Source organism: Homo sapiens, chromosome 2 (assembly GCF_000001405.40).
Source record: "Homo sapiens chromosome 2, GRCh38.p14 Primary Assembly".
Lineage (NCBI taxonomy): Eukaryota > Metazoa > Chordata > Mammalia > Primates > Hominidae > Homo > Homo sapiens.
This window is the reverse complement of record NC_000002.12, coordinates 48,989,640-49,009,747: the sequence shown is the minus strand read 5'-3', so window position 1 is coordinate 49,009,747 and position 20,108 is coordinate 48,989,640. Positions and strand designations below refer to the sequence as shown.

Here is a 20,108-nt window from a genome sequence, read left to right as displayed (position 1 = left end):
GGGACGTGAAGGACCTCTTCAAGGAGAACTACAAACCACTGCTCAAGGAAATAAAAGAGGATACAAACAAATGGAAGAACATTCCATGCTCATGGGCAGGAAGAATCAATATCGTGAAAATGGCCATACTGCCCAAGGTAATTTACAGATTCAATGCCATCCCCATCAAGCTACCAATGCCTTTCTTCACAGAATTGGAAAAAACTACTTTAAAGTTCATATGGAACCAAAAAAGAGCCCGCATCACCAAGTCAATCCTAAGCCAAAAGAACAAAGCTGGAGGCATCACACTACCTGACTTCAAACTATACTACAAGGCTACAGTAACCAAAACGGCATGGTACTCGTACCAAAACAGAGATATAGATCAATGGAACAGAACAGAGCCCTCAGAAATAACGCTGCATATCTACAACTATCTGATCTTTGACAAGCCTGAGAAAAACAAGCAATGGGGAAAGGATTCCCTATTTAATAAATGGTGCTGGGAAAACTGGCTAGCCATATGTAGAAAGCTGAAACTGGATCCCTTCCTTACACCTTATACAAAAATCAATTCAAGATGGATTAAAGACTTAAACGTTAGACCTAAAACCATAAAAACCCTAGAAGAAAACTTGGCATTACCATTCAGGACATAGGCATGGGCAAGGACTTCATGTCTAAAACACCAAAAGCAATGGCAACAAAAGCCAAAATTGACAAATGGGATCTAATTAAAGTAAGGAGCTTCTGCACAGCAAAAGAAACTACCATCAGAGGGAACAGGCAACCTACAAAGTGGGAGAAAATTTTCGCAACCTACTTATCTGACAAAGGGCTAGTATCCAGAATCTACAATGAACTCAAACAAATTTACAAGAAAAAAACAAACAACCCCATCAAAAAGTGGGCGAAGGACATGAACAGACACTTCTCAAAAGAAGACATTTATGCAGCCAAAAAACACATGAAAAAATGCTCATCATCACTGGCCATCAGAGAAATGCAAATCAAAACCACAATGAGATACCATCTCACACCAGTTAGAATGGCAATCATTAAAAAGTCAGGAAACAACAGGTGCTGGAGAGGATGTGGAGAAATAGGAACACTTTTACACTGTTGGTGGGACTGTAAACTAGTTCAACCATTGTGGAAGTCAGTGTGGCGATTCCTCAGGGATCTAGAACTGGAAATACCATTTGACCCAGCCATCCCATTACTGGGTATATACCCAAGGGACTATAAATCATGCTGCTATTAAGACACATGCACACGTATGTTTATTGCGGCATTATTCACAATAGCAAAGACTTGGAACAAACCCAAATGTCCAACAATGATAGACTGGATTAAGAAAATGTGGCACATATACACCATGGAATGCTATGCAGCCATAAAAAATGATGAGTTCATGTCCTTTGTAGGGACATGTATGAAATTGGAAACCATCATTCTCAGTAAACTATCGCAAGAACAAAAAACCAAACACCGCATATTCTCACTCATAGGTGGGAATTGAACAATGAGATCACATGGACACAGGAAGGGGAATATCACACTCTGGGGACTGTTGTGGGGTGGGGGAGGGGGGAGGGATAGCATTGGGAGATATACCTAATGCTAGATGACGAGTTAGTGGGTGCAGTGCACCAGCATGGCACATGTATACATATGTAACTAACCTGCACAATGTGCACATGTACCCTAAAACTTAAAGTATAATAAAAATAAAAAATAAAAAAAATTTAAAAAAAAGAAAATTCAAAACAAATGTTATCCATTCTTATTAAATTCCTGACCCTGCCATTTACTAGTTAAGGGTGCCCATGCAAGAGACTTCATCTCTTTGTACCTCAGCTCTCTCCTCTGCTTAAAAAAAAGGAAAAGATAAAATTATAATAATTCCTACATTTTAAGACCAGTGTAGGATTAAATGAGATACTGATTGTAAAGCTTCTGGTATATTATCCATTCACAATAAATGTTTCTGATTTGATGATGATCATGATGATGGTGGTGACAGTAGTGATGGGGTCTCTTTTCCTTTCCGTTATTCCTAATGTTTTGAAGGCCTCTGTAACTGCTTCTTTAGGACATCTACTACTCAGCATTCTATCATGGAAATACATCATTCATGTTTCTCAAAAGACAAAAGGAGCCTTCTTACAGAACCCCTGACATATCCAAAAAAGTCCTTCCAACAAGCAAAACTACATTATCCTGCACAATTCTAAAAGTTCTCAACCCTGCCTTTTATGTTTATTTTCAACACTAGTGGTCCACAAGCTCCCTTGCCATCCCTATTCAAAATAATTCCAGTTTTTTACACAAACAGCTGGTTGAATAATGCTTCCCATTTTTATGTTTATTTATAATTTAACACTTATCATCCTTTGTTGCATTTGAACCTCAACAATCCACACAGTAGGAGGGACACACAGCCATTTTACAGGAGATGTAAGCTGACTTGTCTATAGTACTTGGTTATAGGGCTCTTCTGACAGGAGGATGCAATGTCCCTACACAATGAATCATTCTTATACTTTTCGTGCTTAGCTATGTTTACTTCTCTATGATGGTGGGAAAAGAGCCATACTTGGGCTCATTTTTAGAAGTTATGGTAGCCATGTGCATGGTGGAAAGGCCTGGTGGCTCCCCATTTCTCCTCCATCCTTTTTGAAGTGAATTGGCCAATCAGTAAGAACTCATTCACTCAGCCAATCATTCAACAATCAATTACTGAGGTCATAGTACACTCCAGGCTTTGTTGTAGCTATTAGTCTCTCCAACTAAAATGTAAGCTCTATAAGGGCAGAGGCTTCATTTGTCCTGTCAAACAATGTTGGATAATGTCAGGTGGTGATGGTGCTATGAAGAAAAATAAAGTAGTAAAAGTAGAGAGTCGTGCTTTAGAAAGCGTGGTTGAGAAAGGATGGAAGGGATGGCTTGTGTGAGATATAGGAGATATCGATGGACAGCTCTCACTTCAAGGAGCTCAGTCCTTTGGGGAGAAAAGTCTATCAAACGTTAACCCCTGGAAATAGCAATACCTCTGTAGAGCTGTGTGGCACTGATCCTGAGTGAGAAGACTGACCCTGTGCCTCAGGCCAGACTAGTCAGGGAAAGCTTGTTGTGGGCTTCTTGGAGGTAACATAGCTGGAACTTGAGTGATAAATATGATTTGGAGAGACATAAAAGAAGAATAAATTTCCTGGGAAAGAAAGAAGTGAGTACTGTAAATGAATAGAATGAAATAACCACGGAAATGATAAAGGATGTAAAGAAACTGAGTCCCAACTAAAAAGAAGGTGTGTACTGAGAAAGAGTATGACTAGATTTGGATGGATAGGGTTGGGTAAGATTGGGAGAAAAATTAAGGCAGAGAAGTTTAAGCCTAACGCAGTAGGAAAAAATAAGTTATAACATATTCTTGAGCAGCAGAGTGACATAATGAGAATGACTTGGACTGTAAGTTGACCAGTAGCAGGGTACAGACTATACAATAGGGAAACCTGTTAAGGGTCATGTATTAGTCAGGATTTTTTAGAGGGACATAACTAATAGGTTAGATGTATACATAAAGGGGAGTTTATTTAGTAGTATTAACTCACACAATCACAAGGTCCCACAACAGGCCATCTGCAAGCTGAGGAGCAAGGAAGCCAGTCTGAGTCCCAAATCTGAAGAACTTGGAGTCTAATGTTCAAGGACAGGAAGTATCCAGCCTGAGAGAAAGATGTAGGCTGAGAGGCTAAGCCAGTCTAATCTTTTCACGTTTTTTCTGCCTGCTTTATAGTCTGGCCATGCTGGCAGCTGATTAGATGGTACCCACTCAGATTAAGGGTGGGTCTGCCTTTCCCAGCCCACTGACTCAAATGTTCATCTCCTTTGGTAACACCCTTTCAAACACACCCAAGATCAGTACTTTGCATCCTTCAATCCATTCAAGTTGGCACTCAATATTAACCATCACAGGGCAGTTGCCATAATCCAGGGATACAGTAATGGTGGTGCTTAGAGGGATAGAAAGGCATGGTTCAATAGGGACACATTTCTAAAACAGAATCACTGGAATATGTTTCATCTCTGGGTCAGACATCCATCTAAGTGGTTGCAGTGATTTGTTTTTTTGCACACTCACTTTCAGTAACCCCTAAAACCCTCTCTTCCCCCAGTACCTCCTCCTAAGCACTTCCCACACAGAGTCATCTTGCAGATATCACTCATCGAGAATCCAGACATCTTATGCAGGACTATCATTATAGTGAAGAAATTATTAGCCATCTCCTGGCTGTCAGTGTTGCAAGGATCTAAGGATGTTGCCATGACTACAAGGATGTTTGGGCACAATCGAGATTTACAATTGCTTTTTTTATCAGTAATCTGCCTGGCAGAGCCAACTTTGCCTACCATCTTCAAATCTAGGAAAATGTGGCCAGCTTTTCCTTCCAGAACACTGATGTTGAAGGTGAGATTTCAGCCCAAGCCGGTCATCTCCAGGGAGGCAAGGACCACCTCTTGATTGTAAAGGTGGTGACATTTTCATGCTGCTTACCTTTCCTCCCTGTTCTCCCCTAACCTGTTCAGTATGCGTTCTCCTGAAAGAAGCCCAAGTCCTTCCCATCAGCAAAGAGATCACTTGATCCATCAATTTATATCAACATATTCAGACTCTGATATTCTCCTTTCAAGGAGAATTTGCATTTTTGAAAGAGGAACCTGAAAAAGGTAATGCTAAACTCAAGAGTTGGTAGTGATGGACTCCATGACGGGGGATTTCTAAGAGGGAGAGAAAATTTCTACAGGACCCACTCAAATAGCACATAGGTGACCATCTACTCTACCCATTTGCAGATTCGGTGCAATTTTATTTTCATAGGATATGCCTTCTTACAAGGTAGTTGTATCCTTACCTCATTAATTTTGAAATAAGACCTGTCTGTCTTTCATCACCAGAAATCAGATATAAGGACAAGTCTAGAGAGGACTGGGTGAAAAGCAAGTCTCAGATTAGCCTAGTAAAGCTTAGCTCTGATTTTTTTCTTATTGCTATATCATCCTCATCAGACACTCCCATCAGCCAGTGATGTACTAATCTCTTCAGGTCTCAGTTTCTTCATCTGCAAACTGAAAATAACAAAATATGCTTCAAGAGGCTAGTCAAATGAGGAAAATAGAAAATCCTCTAAGATCTACTCTAGCCCTGAAGTGCTTGGTTTCTGAACTGTGATCTTCATGAATCTGGGGCTCCCAGTGTCACTGCCTGTCCTGAGTTCATCATATTCAGGCCCCACACGAGGGGCCCTGTATGGAAAGAGGAAGTGATTCTGCAAGATAAGAACATTTGGCATCTTGCAGACCACTTCACTTCCCAGCTCCTCTTCCCCAGGATTCAAATGCTGAGATCTTGCAGAAGCAGTGAGAAGCTTAAATCAGCTGTAAATTACTCATAAATTAAGCACAGCTAAAGTGCAGCTCCTAGAGCTAAAGGACAGTCATAGATGTATTCCTGCCACCCCAGTCCCTGACAAATGAGAACAACCACCTCAGCAGAGCCTGAGAGGCACTGGATGTGGAAATGATATTTAAGAGGCAGAAAGCACCCAGCAGCCATTAGAGCTGGCCTGGGAAGGAGAAATCCTTGGCAGGGCCTGCCTGGGGCACAGACAGAATGACAGTGTGGACAGTGGAAACTGAAGAGACATTAGGCAAATACCCCACCTCCATGGAAAATAAACTGTTGCCTCTTATTCCACTACTAAAGCCTCATATTGGGAGGTTTAAAAGGTATCTTTGTCCTTAGAGACCCTTTTAGATTTGCAATTATCCCTGGGACAGGCCACACATTGAGAGCTACCCATCTCCATGGGGATGGGCCAGAGGAGGCAGGGCAGGGCAGTGGGCAGCAAGGGTAGTCAGGACATGGAGAGAAGGGAGAGTGTCACTCAAGTGACAGATTCTGCACTACTCCAAGGGGTGGGGGTGGGGGACCAGGTTTTCTCCATCACTATATCCCCAGTGCAGGGAGGGAGGATTATTCATTTTTTCTTTTATAGAAACCTGGCTGTGATCCAGATGCTTGCACCTGGTCCTCGCCCCACTCTGAAATACTTGCTGAGAGAGACCCACTTTTTCCCTGCTTCCATCTATTTGTTCATCTCTTCTACTTTATCTTTCATAACGTGTATTCTTAGGCGATAAGATCCTGGTACAGGAATATTCTAGCTGAATTGTCCCAGCTGCCCCCAAACTCTTGATTTATCCTTCTGGGAAGGACGTTGTCTTCCCCAAGGGCAAGTCTGCAGGAGGAATGCATCCAGGGACTCACAAGTCAGCCAGATCAGGACGGGGAAACCACAAAGTAGCTGGAGATTTCCCCACTAGATTCCACTGACATCCAATCCAGAGCAAGGGCTGTGTCCAGTTTATCTCTAGGTCCCCACAGAATACAGGGTCTGCACACAGTGGCCCTTCATGAGAATGTGGGCCGGAGTGGTTGGAACCTTTTTGTTTGGGTAGAGAGGGGAGCAGCTGCTGTTTTTAGAGAAATATCTTGGGGCATCACAGAGTGTGAACACTGAAGTGAAAAATGCTCCACAAAAGAATATTTTCATCTTCAACAGACATCGCAAAAATGTTCTGCTGTGGTTTAATCACGAGCTCACCCACAGAAAACAATCCACAAATAACATCTAGTTCAAGAGGCAGTGAGCTTTTCCCTCACCCATTTGGAATTCAAAGATAGCAGTGCTAAGAAGAGAAAGCCTGGCATGCTTGAAGGACTTGCAAGGGAAGCAGCTAGGCAACCTCCCTCACAATGATCATCCATCATGGTCTCTCTGGACAATGACCAAACCACAGGAGCCACATAGACACAGATTCACTTAGCAAGACATCAGGGATAAGCTCTTTTCTTTACAGGAGATCCAAAGACCCAGGTTCCAGCCCTGGCCCTGCCTGTGAGAACTTGTAAGCAAGTAACAGGGCCTCCCGGGGTGATATGGTCTGGCTCTGTGTCCCCACCCAAATATCATCCTGATTTGTAATCCAAATTGTAATCCCCACATGTTGGGGAGGGACTTCATGGGAGGTAGTTGAATCATGGGGGCTGCTACCCCCATGCTGTTCTTCTGACAATCAGCGAGTTCTCACAATATCTGATGGTATTATAACGGGCTTTTCCCCTTTGCTCGGCACTTCTTCTTGCTGCCACCATGTGAAGAAGGCATGTTTGCTCCCCCTTTCTCCATGACTATAAATTTCCTGAGGCCTCCCCAGCCCTGAGGAACTGCGTGTCAATTAAACCTCTCTCTTTTATAAGTTACCCAATCTCAGGCATTTCTTCATAGCAGCATGAGAAGGGACTAATACACTGGGCCTCAAGGAAAATGGAGAAAAAAATAGCTGCCTCATTTCTTAACAAAAGGTTATTGTAAAGAGAGAAGAGGAAGGAAGGGGCAAGATGAAACTGGGTGTGGGAACATTTTGAAAGTTAAAAGCAATGAAGAAATGCAAGCACTGGTAGTTGTATTAAGGTATTGCTGGGTGATACGGGCATGAGTAACAGAAATCATAATGCAGAAAGCTCTTTTACTTTGTATTAATTAACTAGTCTTACAAAAGACCTGTAAAATATTTACTGGTGGATCCATTTTACAGACCAGAAGCTTGAGGTTCAGAAATGCTAACTGAATTCCCCAAACTTACAAAATGGGATTATGAAATTATACTGGGGAAGAAGGCCCAGGGACACTGAGCTTACTGAGCATCTACTAGATGGCAGATTCTGAACTAAGCATTCTGTTCACCCAAGTTACCTTCCAATCTTCTAAAACAGTGAGGTATGCATTTTTCCCAATCTACAGATGAGGTCTTTGAAACTCAGAGATTACATAGTTGATATAATTAAGAACTGAAGCCAGGAATGTCAGACTCCAACCCAGTTCATCCTGCATTCCAACACAGCACAGCTAGAGAGATTTAGAATGTGGATGAAGCCAACATCAATGTGCCCAGTGCTCAGAACACAATATTGACACCTTATTAATACGTTTGCCACTTGGAATTTGTGATCATCTTCTTGGGCTAAGTTGAAGTGTACCTAAGAAATAGCTTTCTAAATAATTAATATTAGAAATGAGTTGTGGGAAGGGTGTGCAAACTGTTTAAAATATTAACTCTTTTGCAACTCCCTTATGTAATTTAAAAGTAATTGCTTGCCACAAATTGGTAGTTTAATTCAAGTTATTCTAACATCAGCATCCAAGAAGGTCTCAAAAGTTTGCTGCTTGGCAACTCTGTTAGCTGCGAATCTCACCTAGAGATATCTTTAGGTTTTAAAAGTTCTTATACAGCCAATGCAGTATGATGGAAGCAACATCACCAAGAGGCAGGGGAGCCAGAGTGCCTGGGTTCAGGTTCCATCTGTTCTACTTTCTATCAGACAAGCTACAATAATTTGAACTCTCTAAGCCTCAGTTTTCTTATCTATAAAATAGAGTTTATAATAGTACCTCCTTCATAGGGTTATGGGCAGCGTTAAATGACTTTAATACAGGCAAGGCATTTACAATGGTGTCTAGCTTATGGCAATGAAATAGGTGAGTATTAACCATTATTATTTCTGGCTCAGATCTAGAAATTTTGAGCAGGTCAGTTACTCTCTGTAAGCCTTGCCTCTCTTATCAGTAAAATGGTAATCATAATTATGTTTACCTTAGAAGGCTATTGTAAAGTCAAATGAGATCATATGAAATACCTTTGTCAGGTATGTGCTACACAAATAATAAGGCTAGTTTATTTTCAAGTCTTTTTTTCTTAGAAGAAAAATCTGGGTCAGACTTGTGACCTCTGTAACCAGTTCCTAGGACTGCAGTTCCTTTTCAGTTAGCAGTGTTCTGGTCTACTGCCACTTTAGCCAGCCTCTCACTCAGCTCAAATTCAGACACTGGTCACTGTGTTCCCCAAGCTAGAGGGAGCAGCTATGAAACTTTCCACATGGTCTTTCTAAAGTCCCTCTTTCAACCTAAGTGAAGCAGCAAGCAGCCCCCACCCTTTCCATGGTACAGGAATAGGAAGGGAAAAATCTACAGCTTTCTCCAGAAACCCTTCTCACAAAGTCTTTCCCCGAATTTAACTCTCCACACTACTTTCATGCCCAATGTGCATGAGAGGTTAAGAATTGTGTAACTGGTTTCCAGAAACCTGGAATGTAACATTTCTTCTACCACTGTGTCTCAGGGAAAACTCCAACTATGACATTGGCTACACTGAGCTCTGCCTTAGCCACGGAGGTATCCGATAGCTTGCTCCAAGTTAAAAGCACAAACATCAATAGTGACAACTACACAGTAGCCCATCACAAACTTATTTATTTTTTTACATTCAAGTCAGGCCTATTTTCTCAAAGATTTCTCCTAAGTTTACTTCCCTTTTGACTTAGTTTGCCGTGATTCTTTTTACCCTAATCTGGTTATATGTAGAAGTTAATTGTCGGACTAGGGGTAGGAAACTGACCTTGAGACTGATATCATTTACAACCCTAGCGTAGTTACACAGAGTCCCTTGCTTTACCTCCCCTAGTTATAATCTAAGAGATCCATCCTAAAATGTGCAAACTTGGTGGTGGAGAGTAAACCAAAATTCACTGGACATAGTCTGCCCTTTCACCAATACAGTTCTGATTTTGTGTATTGTGAACTTTCTGATGTACATCACGGTAGAAGAATGGAGTGTGCTGACTGATGGAATACTCCTCCTAAGACAGAGTTTACCAACCATGTCCTAATAGTAATAGTCTTTTTGAAGAATTAGTCTACAGTAAAAGAAGGTGACATAAATGCTTTAGCTTTTAGCAGAGCTTCCAAGGTTGAACTAGGAAACACCAAACTCAGGATATACTATACAATGATGTGGGAGTCCAAAGTCAGTATGTTTGGGAAAGCCAGCCGACTATTTCCTTCTCTTGGAAACTTATAATGAATAATGTCATGGTAAAGGCTCTGAGAATCCTGCAGGAAACAAGCTGCTTAATTAACCTTATTAACCCAGCATTCCCTAAACGTATTTGACCATTGTAACATTTCATTCACAAACAAAGTATTTGTATTTCTGGAAATACCGTTTCTAGAGAAATGCTCAGTTTCTAAGTTGGAAGGCATCTTAGAGGTTACGGAGTCTAAGGCCCTCTTCAGGAATAAAACCCTCCATACAGTTACTTGGACATAGTAATTCTATGGTTGCAGAGATAAGGAACCACATGCTTAGCAGCACAATCCATTTCTTCTTGGGCAACTCTCATAATGAATTAGAATCTGTCTTTAAGGTAAGACAACAATAAGCACCCAAATTTTACATTAAGAAAAATCTAAATTCAACCTCTAGCTGTGCTTCTCCTTATGTGGCTTTGAGAAAGCTACTGGACTTCTCTCAGCTGAGCATCCTCAACTCTAATATGAGGATGGTAAGGGTACCTGTCTCCAAGGTAGTGGAGAGGAATACATTAAATAATCGATAGTAAGTGCTTGGTGCGGTACCTGGTACATAGGAAGTGTTCAATAAATGTTGACCATTATTATTATGAATCCTGTATCTACTTTCCAGAACAGAATAGCACATATCTATTACCATTTCCACCTGGCAGCTCTTCAGAATCACACAGGCTTCTTTTCCCAAGCAAAGTATCCTATGCACTGGATGGTATGATCTTGATTCCTCACCCCATCAGCGAACAAACACACAAACAAACAAAGCATATGTTTCCGAATAAGTTTATTGATAAAGTAGATACACATATGACTGCAGTCTTGTGTGCATTACCACACATACACAAAAATAATATTTTAAAGAATGAAATCAAGATGAATAATATGCTTCGATATTTGCATCTTCTCTTATTATGTACCATTTCACATAGCACAAAATCCTGTTTTGCTCTCACTAAATATAATAACAATATTTTGAGAAAGCATTTTCATGGAATATGCTTTTTTTTTAATCCTTAGTTTAAGAGGTCATTGTAATATTAGATTTTAATGGCTGTCAAAGTTGAGAACAAAACTTCACTAAAATAGGTAGATCCAATGGAAGAACAGCTCCATACCTATAGTCGCTGAGTCATCATACTTAGTGTTTATACCCCTTTTATGCAAATACTGTTGTAAAATTCAGCTAGTATATTTTTTTCCCTAACGTCAGTCAAATGTTCTGGCTGACATCAGGGAAAAAATACACCAGCTGAATTTTACTAGTACCTGGAAACTACCTGGAATATGTTGAATTTTTTATACTTTTAATGAAAGCATTCAAAACTCCACGAGAAACAAACTGGTTAGAAAATTGCATTTCCTTATGTTTAAAACATATACTATGAGAGTTTTCATATATAATGACATACATCACTTTCAGCAATAAATTAACAATTTCCATACATGTTTCCCAATGCTTTATCCATAGCACAGATTTTTTTTTCAAATCCTGTTGCCTTCCTCCTCATTAATATACCACCTTTCACTTAAAAAGACAAATCAAGTATGTCTAATTAGAAAATATCTGCTTTGTACCATTATTTCTGACAGCCATTTGTCAAAGAAAAACTCAACAAATTTGGATCACTTGTCTTTTTGAAAAAAAAATGTATAAGTCATCTTTAATTTATCAACTCTAGGTAGTAGTTTTCCTTGACTTCAACAAACCTCTAAGTGATAGTATGATCCTGATCAGAAAACCCAGGAGCCAGAGGCTAAACAGAGTCAGACAGGTAAAAAGGTAAAAAGGTTGATCCAGGCAGGTTTATCAGAAGGAAGCAGAAGGCAATTAGAGAACGAGGGCAGGAGGAATCTGGGAAAGTCCACTGTGACTTCCAATGTTCTCAGCAGAGCTCAAGGAGCCTCAGGTAGAAGGTAACAGACCAGCCTACTGAAGTGTCATATAAGTCCCACAGGGACTCAGGCAAGGAAACAGCATTTGAGCACCCAAGAGAACTAGGGAGATGTAAGACATGACCCAGGTCCTAGTGGATCAAGGAAATCAGAATCTCAGATATGGCAACTGGAATACAAGGCTGGAGCATGACCACAGCAGTAACAATTCCTGGTCACGGGGCTAAGTTGTCCTAAAAGGTAAATCTTATTTCCCTGTGTAAAATATAAGAGATCTGAGCCCTGGAGACTCCAACTAACCCCTAAGGCTACACATCTTAAAAAATGATAAGGCCAGGAGGACTTGAAACCAGACCATCTGGCACCAGAGCTCTTACCTTTGAAGCTATGCTACATGCCCTGCTCAAAAACAGAGGCTGATTGCAAATCTAGGATGCTAGGTCCGAACAGAATCTGCAGCCAAGCCGATAGGACTGACCTCTCCTCTAGGAAATGTTACCCTTGAGCTCCTTAAATTTCCCCTGATTACTAAGGAGTTTGGTTTCCATGGAGACTGAGACAAAGAGTTCCAGTTAAATATGAGAGTTAAATACTTCTAGTTTTGAAAATGTGAGATCGAAAAGGCAAGAAACCAGGCTTTCCTACTGTCTCACATAATTTCTTACACAAAATCATTTTACAGAGAGAAACTGAGACTCTGAAAAGGTAAGTGAACTGTTTGGTGTTATCCAGAAGCTAGAGAGACCACTGGAACCCAGGGTCTCTAAACCTTAAGTTGAAGACCTTTTTCATACGCCTTCTTACATGCTCTGCCATCTAACTCCACGATTCTGTGATACTATACCTAGCGCAATGTTTATTTAATGATTCAGAAAGCATATGTTAGCATCTTTTATCATGTTGTATATAGATATACAAACTCCCAGTTAAGAAGGATCTGTAATTAATAGAAATATCAATATTAGCAAGCCTCATAAAGTAGCGAGTCTTTTCATATACAGTTGATCCTCATTATTTGCAGATTCTGTATGTGCTAATTAATCTACTTGCTAAAATGTATTTGCAATCCAAAATCAGTACGTGAAACACTTTTGCATTATTCCTAGACATGTGCTTTTGCAGAAAGACAAAAATTTGAGTGTCTTGACATGGGTTCCCAACTGAGGTTGAATGACTCTGCATTCTGCCACCTCGTTTCAGCTGTCATGCTGAAAATCAAGTGTCCTTTGCATGGTCTATCTAGGGCCTTTTATCCCCATATTTGTGCTTTTTCTTGGTGATGTCATGGTTTAAAATGGCCAAAAATATATGTGTAAGATAAGCTTCCTTCAGACATGAGTTATATACTCCAGAACATGAGTTGTGTTAATGAATCAACAAGAAATATTAAATAAGGTGTCTTTAAATAGAAACATATATAAAACATGGTTGTATATTGATCAAGCCATGACAAAAATGTTGCCACCAAAGGCTTATAGGAATCTAACCCTGAATTTCCCATGGGGCCAGTGATTCACTAATTCCATGTTTGAGGTGACTTTTAGAACATACTGCTGTGGATAATGAGAATCAACTGTATATAGTTAAGCTCAGCCCACTCTTCCTAGTCTTATCCATCATTGCCCTAACTTCTCTCAGAATGGTCAGGAGGAAGGAGTCAACTTCAACTTTATGCAAGAGACTTTAAAAATGTAATTAAAAATGTAAAAGAGTAAAAGAATCAAATGGCTTAAAAGGAAACAAATCCTATATCATAGGAAACCAATTAGTAGGTAGAGAAAAGAGTTCAACTTCAAACCCTCAGCCTTGGTTACTAGGAAATGCGCTTTGGCTAAAAGGATAAACTGGACACACAACTGGCAGCATCCTCTCTCTTAATCAAATTTGCCTAAAGCATCTCAATGATCTACTCAAGCCATAGCATGAACTCTGTGGCTGCCTTAAGTCCTAGACTAAGAGAGAGCTGTTTCACACAGTCTCAGAATCGATCATTCCATGCCATGGTAGATTTGGTGTGGAACAGAGGTAAAAAAAAATGTTTTCCTTGTTGACATATGTGATAAAAAGGGATGTCTTGTCCTTCCTGGCTTAATTTTCTCACTCCAGTAGGTTAAGTATTCACCTCCACAGTTGGTTCTCAACCACCATCACTTTGGTCTGATTACTTCTGTGAATTCCTGAGATGATGGGCTGGTGAAAACATGGGCCAGCTCTGCTCAGGGAACCCTCAAGTCTTCTTGCTTCCCCTTGCAGCCCCATAAAGTGGCTTCTAATGCTTGCCCATAAGTGGGGAATTAACACCATGCTTCTTCTTTACCATGTTTCTTTAACTAGCTTTAAAGTTTCTGGAATCCTGCCTCCTCCCTGCCTTTTAATTTCATTTTTGTCTGCTTCCCATCCTTTCATCCACCTCGTGTGGTCCGGATATACACACTTGCTACTCTTAGTTTAGGCCAGAAGGCTCTGTAGTTTCTAAGATACTTGACTTTTTTCCTCTTCCTATAAGCACTTCTTCTTGGCTACTCCAGCCCATATTGTTCCTCCAGCCCCTTCCCTGAACTCATAAAGCATTCACAATCAGTAGCATACAGTTTTCCACCAGACCATTCTGAGTGTTTCACCTGTGCTAGTCTTAACTCACTCCCAAACTCCCTGAAACCGGCACACTGTGTCTGCCTTCCTCCTTGGATAAAACAGAGATTTTATTGGAAGGATGGCACATAGACCAGTGCAACACAAGCAAACACAGACCCTGTTAACTCAAGAAAAAATAAGAGCCCATCAACACTACTGAAGCTTAATAAAAGCATTAATGATGTTTAGGACAATGAGCCTTAGAGCCTCAGGGTCACCTGTTTATGAAAGGCAAGCATATTATCCTATGGCAGAATAGGTAAGAATGGTTCCCAGCAATTACAGGACCCCGCTAAGTTTATCCTGATTGGAGAGAAGCTCACTTTCACTTTACAACCTGAAGATTAAGGACAATCAGGCATGAAAGATGCTAACATCAACTTAGAATGTAAAACTGGCTGTAGAGAGGGAAAACTCTGAGTCAGTTACCTTTCTTTAAAAGACTCATTTGCAGAACTTAAATTCACTGACATTTTACCCTCAGGCCTTTAACTGTTTTTTGAAGATAAACCATGGTTGAGTGAATCAAAATAATTTTGCAGCAAACAGTCATTTGACAAAAGCAAACCCATTGAGACATACAGTTCCTAGCTGATTACCCACTTCCAGCCTCCATCAGCATGAATTTATTGATCAGAGGGGAAAAATGAATTGAAAACTAAGTGTTCGTCTGAACTCCATTTCCTGTATTATCTTGGGGTTATAGAGAGTCTCAGCTACAGAATTATCACCAATAATCCATCTCACTAGATGGTCACTAGATCTTTTTAAGTGCCTTAAACTCAGCACTACTGGAATAATTTTAGCCATTTTTTGCAGTGTGATTTCTTTCCTATAAAGATCAAAGATCTCAATGTGCATCTGCAGATATCTATAGATATTTCATAAGTACAGTGGCTATGGAAGCTCATGCAATTGATGTTAAATGATGCACTCATAACTTTATTATTGAGCAATCATGAATTCTTCATTCTTTCAATTATATAAAACCTATTCATTCACTAAGAGAGATGGGGAAGTTGCTACCCAAATAACGTTGAATGAGTAAGCTGTAATAAACATAGGCAGTGAATAATTCCTTGTGAGTTCATCTCTTGACAAAACATAGCACATTACCTGGCATAAAGAGCTTGGCAAACATTGAGCACATTTTATGCGTCAACTACTGTGCCAACATTGGGTTTTCAGGGAAAACATGAATCTTGCCCTCATATGATTCACAATCTGGTTGAAGAGGCAGACATTGGATAAATAACACAAAATAATACATGGCTCAGAGTTTTGAGGAGTGCTAAAACAGATGCAGTTATATTGAGAATAAATCAGGGGCCAGAATTTAGTTTAGCATATATGGAGCTCCTTTTTGAAGAAATGACATGTGTAACTAAACTCTGAAGGGTGAGTTGAAGTTCGCCAGGTGAAGAATGGATGGTTAGCCTTCTAGAGAAAGTACATGCAAATATTTGGAGAAAGGAAAGAACTTAATACAGCTGAGGAACTGAAAGAAAGCCACAGGGGCTAAAACGCACTGGGGAAATAGCATAAGATAAAGGTGCAAGAGTAGGCAGTAAGAAGTATAAATTTTACTCTAAGTTTTATGGGAAAGAACTAAAGCCTTAGCAGCAAAGGAGTAAAACAATCTGATTTACATTTTTGAAAAGAAGGCCCAGAGTGCTGTATGGAGAATGGATTGGAAAAGAAGAGGAGGATAATATTGCAGACATTCAGAGGGTCTTTTGGGAATGGTGTCAGTGGAGATAGGCAAAATTGCATAAAGTCAAGACATATTTTGGAAATGGAATCTAAGAGGACTTTGAGATGGGCTGGATATCGGAACGTGAGAAAGAAGAAGCCAAGCCAACTTTAACTGTCAAATTAAAATTGATGGATAGCAATTCTATCTATGGAGAGTAATTGAGAAGAAGCCGTTTGGTGGAGGTGATAATGGGGGGAACAAGTTTAGTTGGCTATGTCAATGAGACATTCAGGAGGATATGCAAAGTAAGCTTTAATTAGCAATAGACTAGTGAAGTCAGACAGCAAGTATGAATCTAGGAGTCACACAATATTGATGCTACTTAAAATCACAGGAAGCAAGATCTATGTAGTGAGACTATAGAAAAGAGAAGCAAAAGGCCCAGAGCACAAATAGAGAAAAAGGAATCAACAAAGAATGCTAAAAAGGAGTAACAGGAGAAGGAGCAGAAACGAAAGAATGCAAAATGACAGAAACCAATAGAAAAGAGAGTCCGGAAAAAAAATGCTAAATGATCCAGAGAGGCCTAATAAAGTGACTGTTTAAAGTGTTTCTTACATTTGGTAGTTGGTGAGTTTGTAGACTTTGGCATGACAGTCACAGTTTCAGTTATGAGTTATGGGATGAAAATAGATTGGAGCAGGTTGAAGATCGATGGGATATGAGAAAATGAAGACAGCATGTGCAGACAACTCTTTCTAGAAGCTTTGCTGTGAAAGAAGAAAGAGAAATAGGGAGTTAGGCTAAGTGAAAGAAGCCAGACCCAAAAGTTGCATTCTAGATGATTCCACTGATAGAGACAGAGCAAGAGGGTGGAATAGAAAGCTCCACCAATTGTCCCCTGGGCAAAGACACCAAATTAACAGCTCTCTACACAGAAAAAAACACCTTCATGAGAACCAAAAATCAGGTGAGCACTCACAGTACCTGGTTTTAACTTCGTATCGCTGAAAGAGGCACTGAAGAGATAGAAAAGACAGTCCTGAATCACTGACACCACTCCTCCCCACTTCCCTGGCAGTGGCTGTGTGGAGAGCATCTTTGGGCTCCAGTGGGGGACATCATGGATGATTCCATTGACATAACATTTTGGAAAAGGCAAAATTACAGAAACAGAAAACTGATCAGTGGTTGCTAGGGATATGAAGTAGGTGAAGAGATGAACTACAAAGGGAAAACACAAGGGAATTTAGAAAGTGACGGCACTGTTCTATGTCTGTATTGTGCTCGTGGTTACGTAGCTATATGTATTTGTCTTAGCCCATAGACCTCTATGCTGAAAAGAGTTTATTTTTCTGTATATAATTTTTTAGCGCATTAACAACACAACAAATCCTTCAAAAAAGAACCTCTTTTCCTGGATAAAAAGCAAAGGGAGACTAACTCAAGGGCTGTTGAAGTAATTAAAAGAGAATTGCCCAAGACAGCTTCTATGTGGACATTAGGGAATCAAGAGAGGAAAAAAAGAAAAAAAAATTTGAGAACCATCACCGAGAACCCATAGACTGCATTCACTTCCTCTCTAAATACAGAAGCAGAGAACAAGGCACCAAATCTTCTTGAGTCATAAACCTCAAAAGGACATATGGTCCTTCACAATGATTAATATATATCAATGAGTGTTCTTTAGGTTGCATGCAACTATCACCACCTCCATCTTGAGTAAGTCACATACAGAAAAGGGAATGGGAGTAGAGAGGTAGTAGAAGGATTTCAAATAACTCACAGGTGTTAGAGAAATGACAAAGAACAATGCGTCCAATAATTCGTATGTGCCTCTAAAAACCCTCACCATTGTTCTGGCAGCCAGTTCCACCCACATTTCATCCAGCTTCACTCAAGTGCAACTGGACAACACCTGGCCTAGCCTTGTACACCTCTCACTTCCTACTCTGGGGCTTCTTGGGCACCACTGTGAGAGATGCCCATCAGGAACTCACTGGGTGCTCACAAATGTGCAAGCCATAAGTGGGGAATTAACACCATAGGGTCACCTTTTACCAATAGGAAAGGGGAGTCTACAGACACATCCTTCCCCCACTACTCTCCCTCACTCAGATCAACAGTTCTGAGGACCAATTTTTTAAATATCCTAACTCAAGTCCTTGGGATTAGGAACTAATCACCAGTAGTGGTAGTATTGCTTAGCTTCACCTCCTTGCCAGTTTCACTCCCTGTCCTGAATGCTCTGAAATCATGCTATCAGCTATATTACCCACAGCTAGGCTTCTTCTCAGGCTCTGCTTCCCGGGAAAGCCAGGCCAATACAACCAGACCTTGGGAAGGATCCTGGGTAGGTCTGAAATTTTCAGCTATAGAAATTTATAACCATCTCGTAAGGGTAATGACAGCAGAAGCTCTAACCAACCTCTAACCAGTTCCCAGGAGAGAGTCTGATTGGCCCAGCTTAGGTCACATACATACCCTAGGGTCTTAGGGCATGGAATCTCATGCTCTAATCCCAAGAGAATCGCTTGGAGTGGAGAAAGGAGTTTTCCAACAAGTATGATGAGGTTGGAAATAGGGGAAATTTTAAGAAACTTTTGTTACTAGTTGGAAGTTGCTTTAGGGTCACATTAACTTATCAATCGTTTTTTTTTTAATGTATACTGTGGCATCCTAATCCCCTTGTGACTGAAGTGTAAGTTTCTTTTCTCTGAGGAATCAACAGCTTTTAAGACCGTGGAACGAACCTTAAAATAGAAAACATGAGCCTAATTCACGTATATACGGGCTTTTCTCGTAGATTTTTCTGATGGTTCAAAATTGATATTTTTATTCTGGAAAGTTCATGCTCTAACAACTGTTTAAACAGCCAGTTTCATTTTCACTCACTCTCATTTTGTTTCTCTCTAGGTTAATATCCAACACAGGTATTAAGCACCTTCCAGATGTTCACAAGATTCATTCTCTCCAAAAAGTTTTACTGTAAGTTTTTTCCTTGAGTGACTACCAACTCTTTACTCAGTATCTGTCTTGCCCAACGGCTATCTGGGCCTTTAATATGCATTGTGTAGTCTACATCCTCCAAATGTATTGCTCTGGGTTAGCAAAGATAGGGAGGCCAGAAGTGAGGTCCTTGATTTTACCTGCAGGCCAGTCAATATTAGTTTGGAGGAAACTGAAAGACCCTTCAATAAGAGTATTGTTCACAAAACCAGCATGTAGCAAAATCAAAAAGTGGCTCATTTTTTCACTATTTAGCGCTTTAATTACTGCCCCCCACACACATAAACAACACCCCCTGTATTCCAGCATCCTCTCCTCTTCTTTCTAGAATTGCTATGCTGCCCTGGGCACAAAGAAACTATCTAACAAACACATTCATATTAAAGAGTTAATGACAGGCTGTGTTTGCCTTTTCCCAAGGTATTTGTATTTTGAAAAAGGAAGAGAAAAGGTAGCATATAATGGCAACTATTCCCAATAGTGAAATTGTAAGAATATGGACAGATCCAAAAGGAGGAGATGGGGAAGGGGTGTAAGGAGCTAAGCAGAGAGGAAGGAGATAAGCAGGGAGGGAGGAGAGAAAGAGGAAAATATGAAAATCTTTCAGAATTTCTCAAATTGTTCCAAGCTGTTTACTACACTACTTGTACAGCTGTTACTTCCACATTTACTTCTCCATATTAGATCAGACCTAACAGGGAAGGTTGACGGGGGAAATGAGGAATACAAACAGAAAATGAGAGTTTCCTCATCCTTTCATTCAGGAAAAGAAAAATCAATGATAAAGCCATTCTGAGACCCAAGGAGAACAGGCAGAAGGAAACTAGCTGTAAGAAGGGGATTGACATGAGGAGAAGGCCCAACTAAGATGAACAGAGAAGTTAGACAAGAGGTGAAAGGTCAGC

General features: G+C 40.3%; 1 protein-coding gene across 6 annotated transcripts in view, besides 3 other annotated features; it reads left to right on the top strand.

The window, feature by feature from the left end:
• The window catches only part of FSHR (follicle stimulating hormone receptor), a 192,359-nt gene that overhangs the window by 144,768 nt on the left and 27,483 nt on the right, over positions 1–20,108 (top strand). For 5 of the 6 annotated variants that reach the window (NM_181446.3, NM_000145.4, XM_011532733.3 and 2 more), the window contains one exon: positions 19,111–19,182. In NM_181446.3, the coding sequence (NP_852111.2) occupies positions 19,111–19,182 (72 nt within the window). Of the gene's footprint in view, positions 1–12,504; positions 12,570–19,110; positions 19,183–20,108 lie in introns of those variants that run through there. The other variant, XM_011532735.3, reaches the window with a different exon arrangement.
• Positions 5,353–5,472: an enhancer, noted in NCBI's record as "active region_15751". NCBI's record gives its function as "activates an Ori minimal core promoter by ATAC-STARR-seq in GM12878 lymphoblastoid cells {active_cell/tissue: GM12878}" and the evidence as "EXISTENCE:reporter gene assay evidence [ECO:0000049][PMID:35858748]".
• Positions 5,503–5,552: an enhancer, noted in NCBI's record as "active region_15750". NCBI's record gives its function as "activates an Ori minimal core promoter by ATAC-STARR-seq in GM12878 lymphoblastoid cells {active_cell/tissue: GM12878}" and the evidence as "EXISTENCE:reporter gene assay evidence [ECO:0000049][PMID:35858748]".
• Positions 18,174–18,263: an enhancer, noted in NCBI's record as "active region_15749". NCBI's record gives its function as "activates an Ori minimal core promoter by ATAC-STARR-seq in GM12878 lymphoblastoid cells {active_cell/tissue: GM12878}" and the evidence as "EXISTENCE:reporter gene assay evidence [ECO:0000049][PMID:35858748]".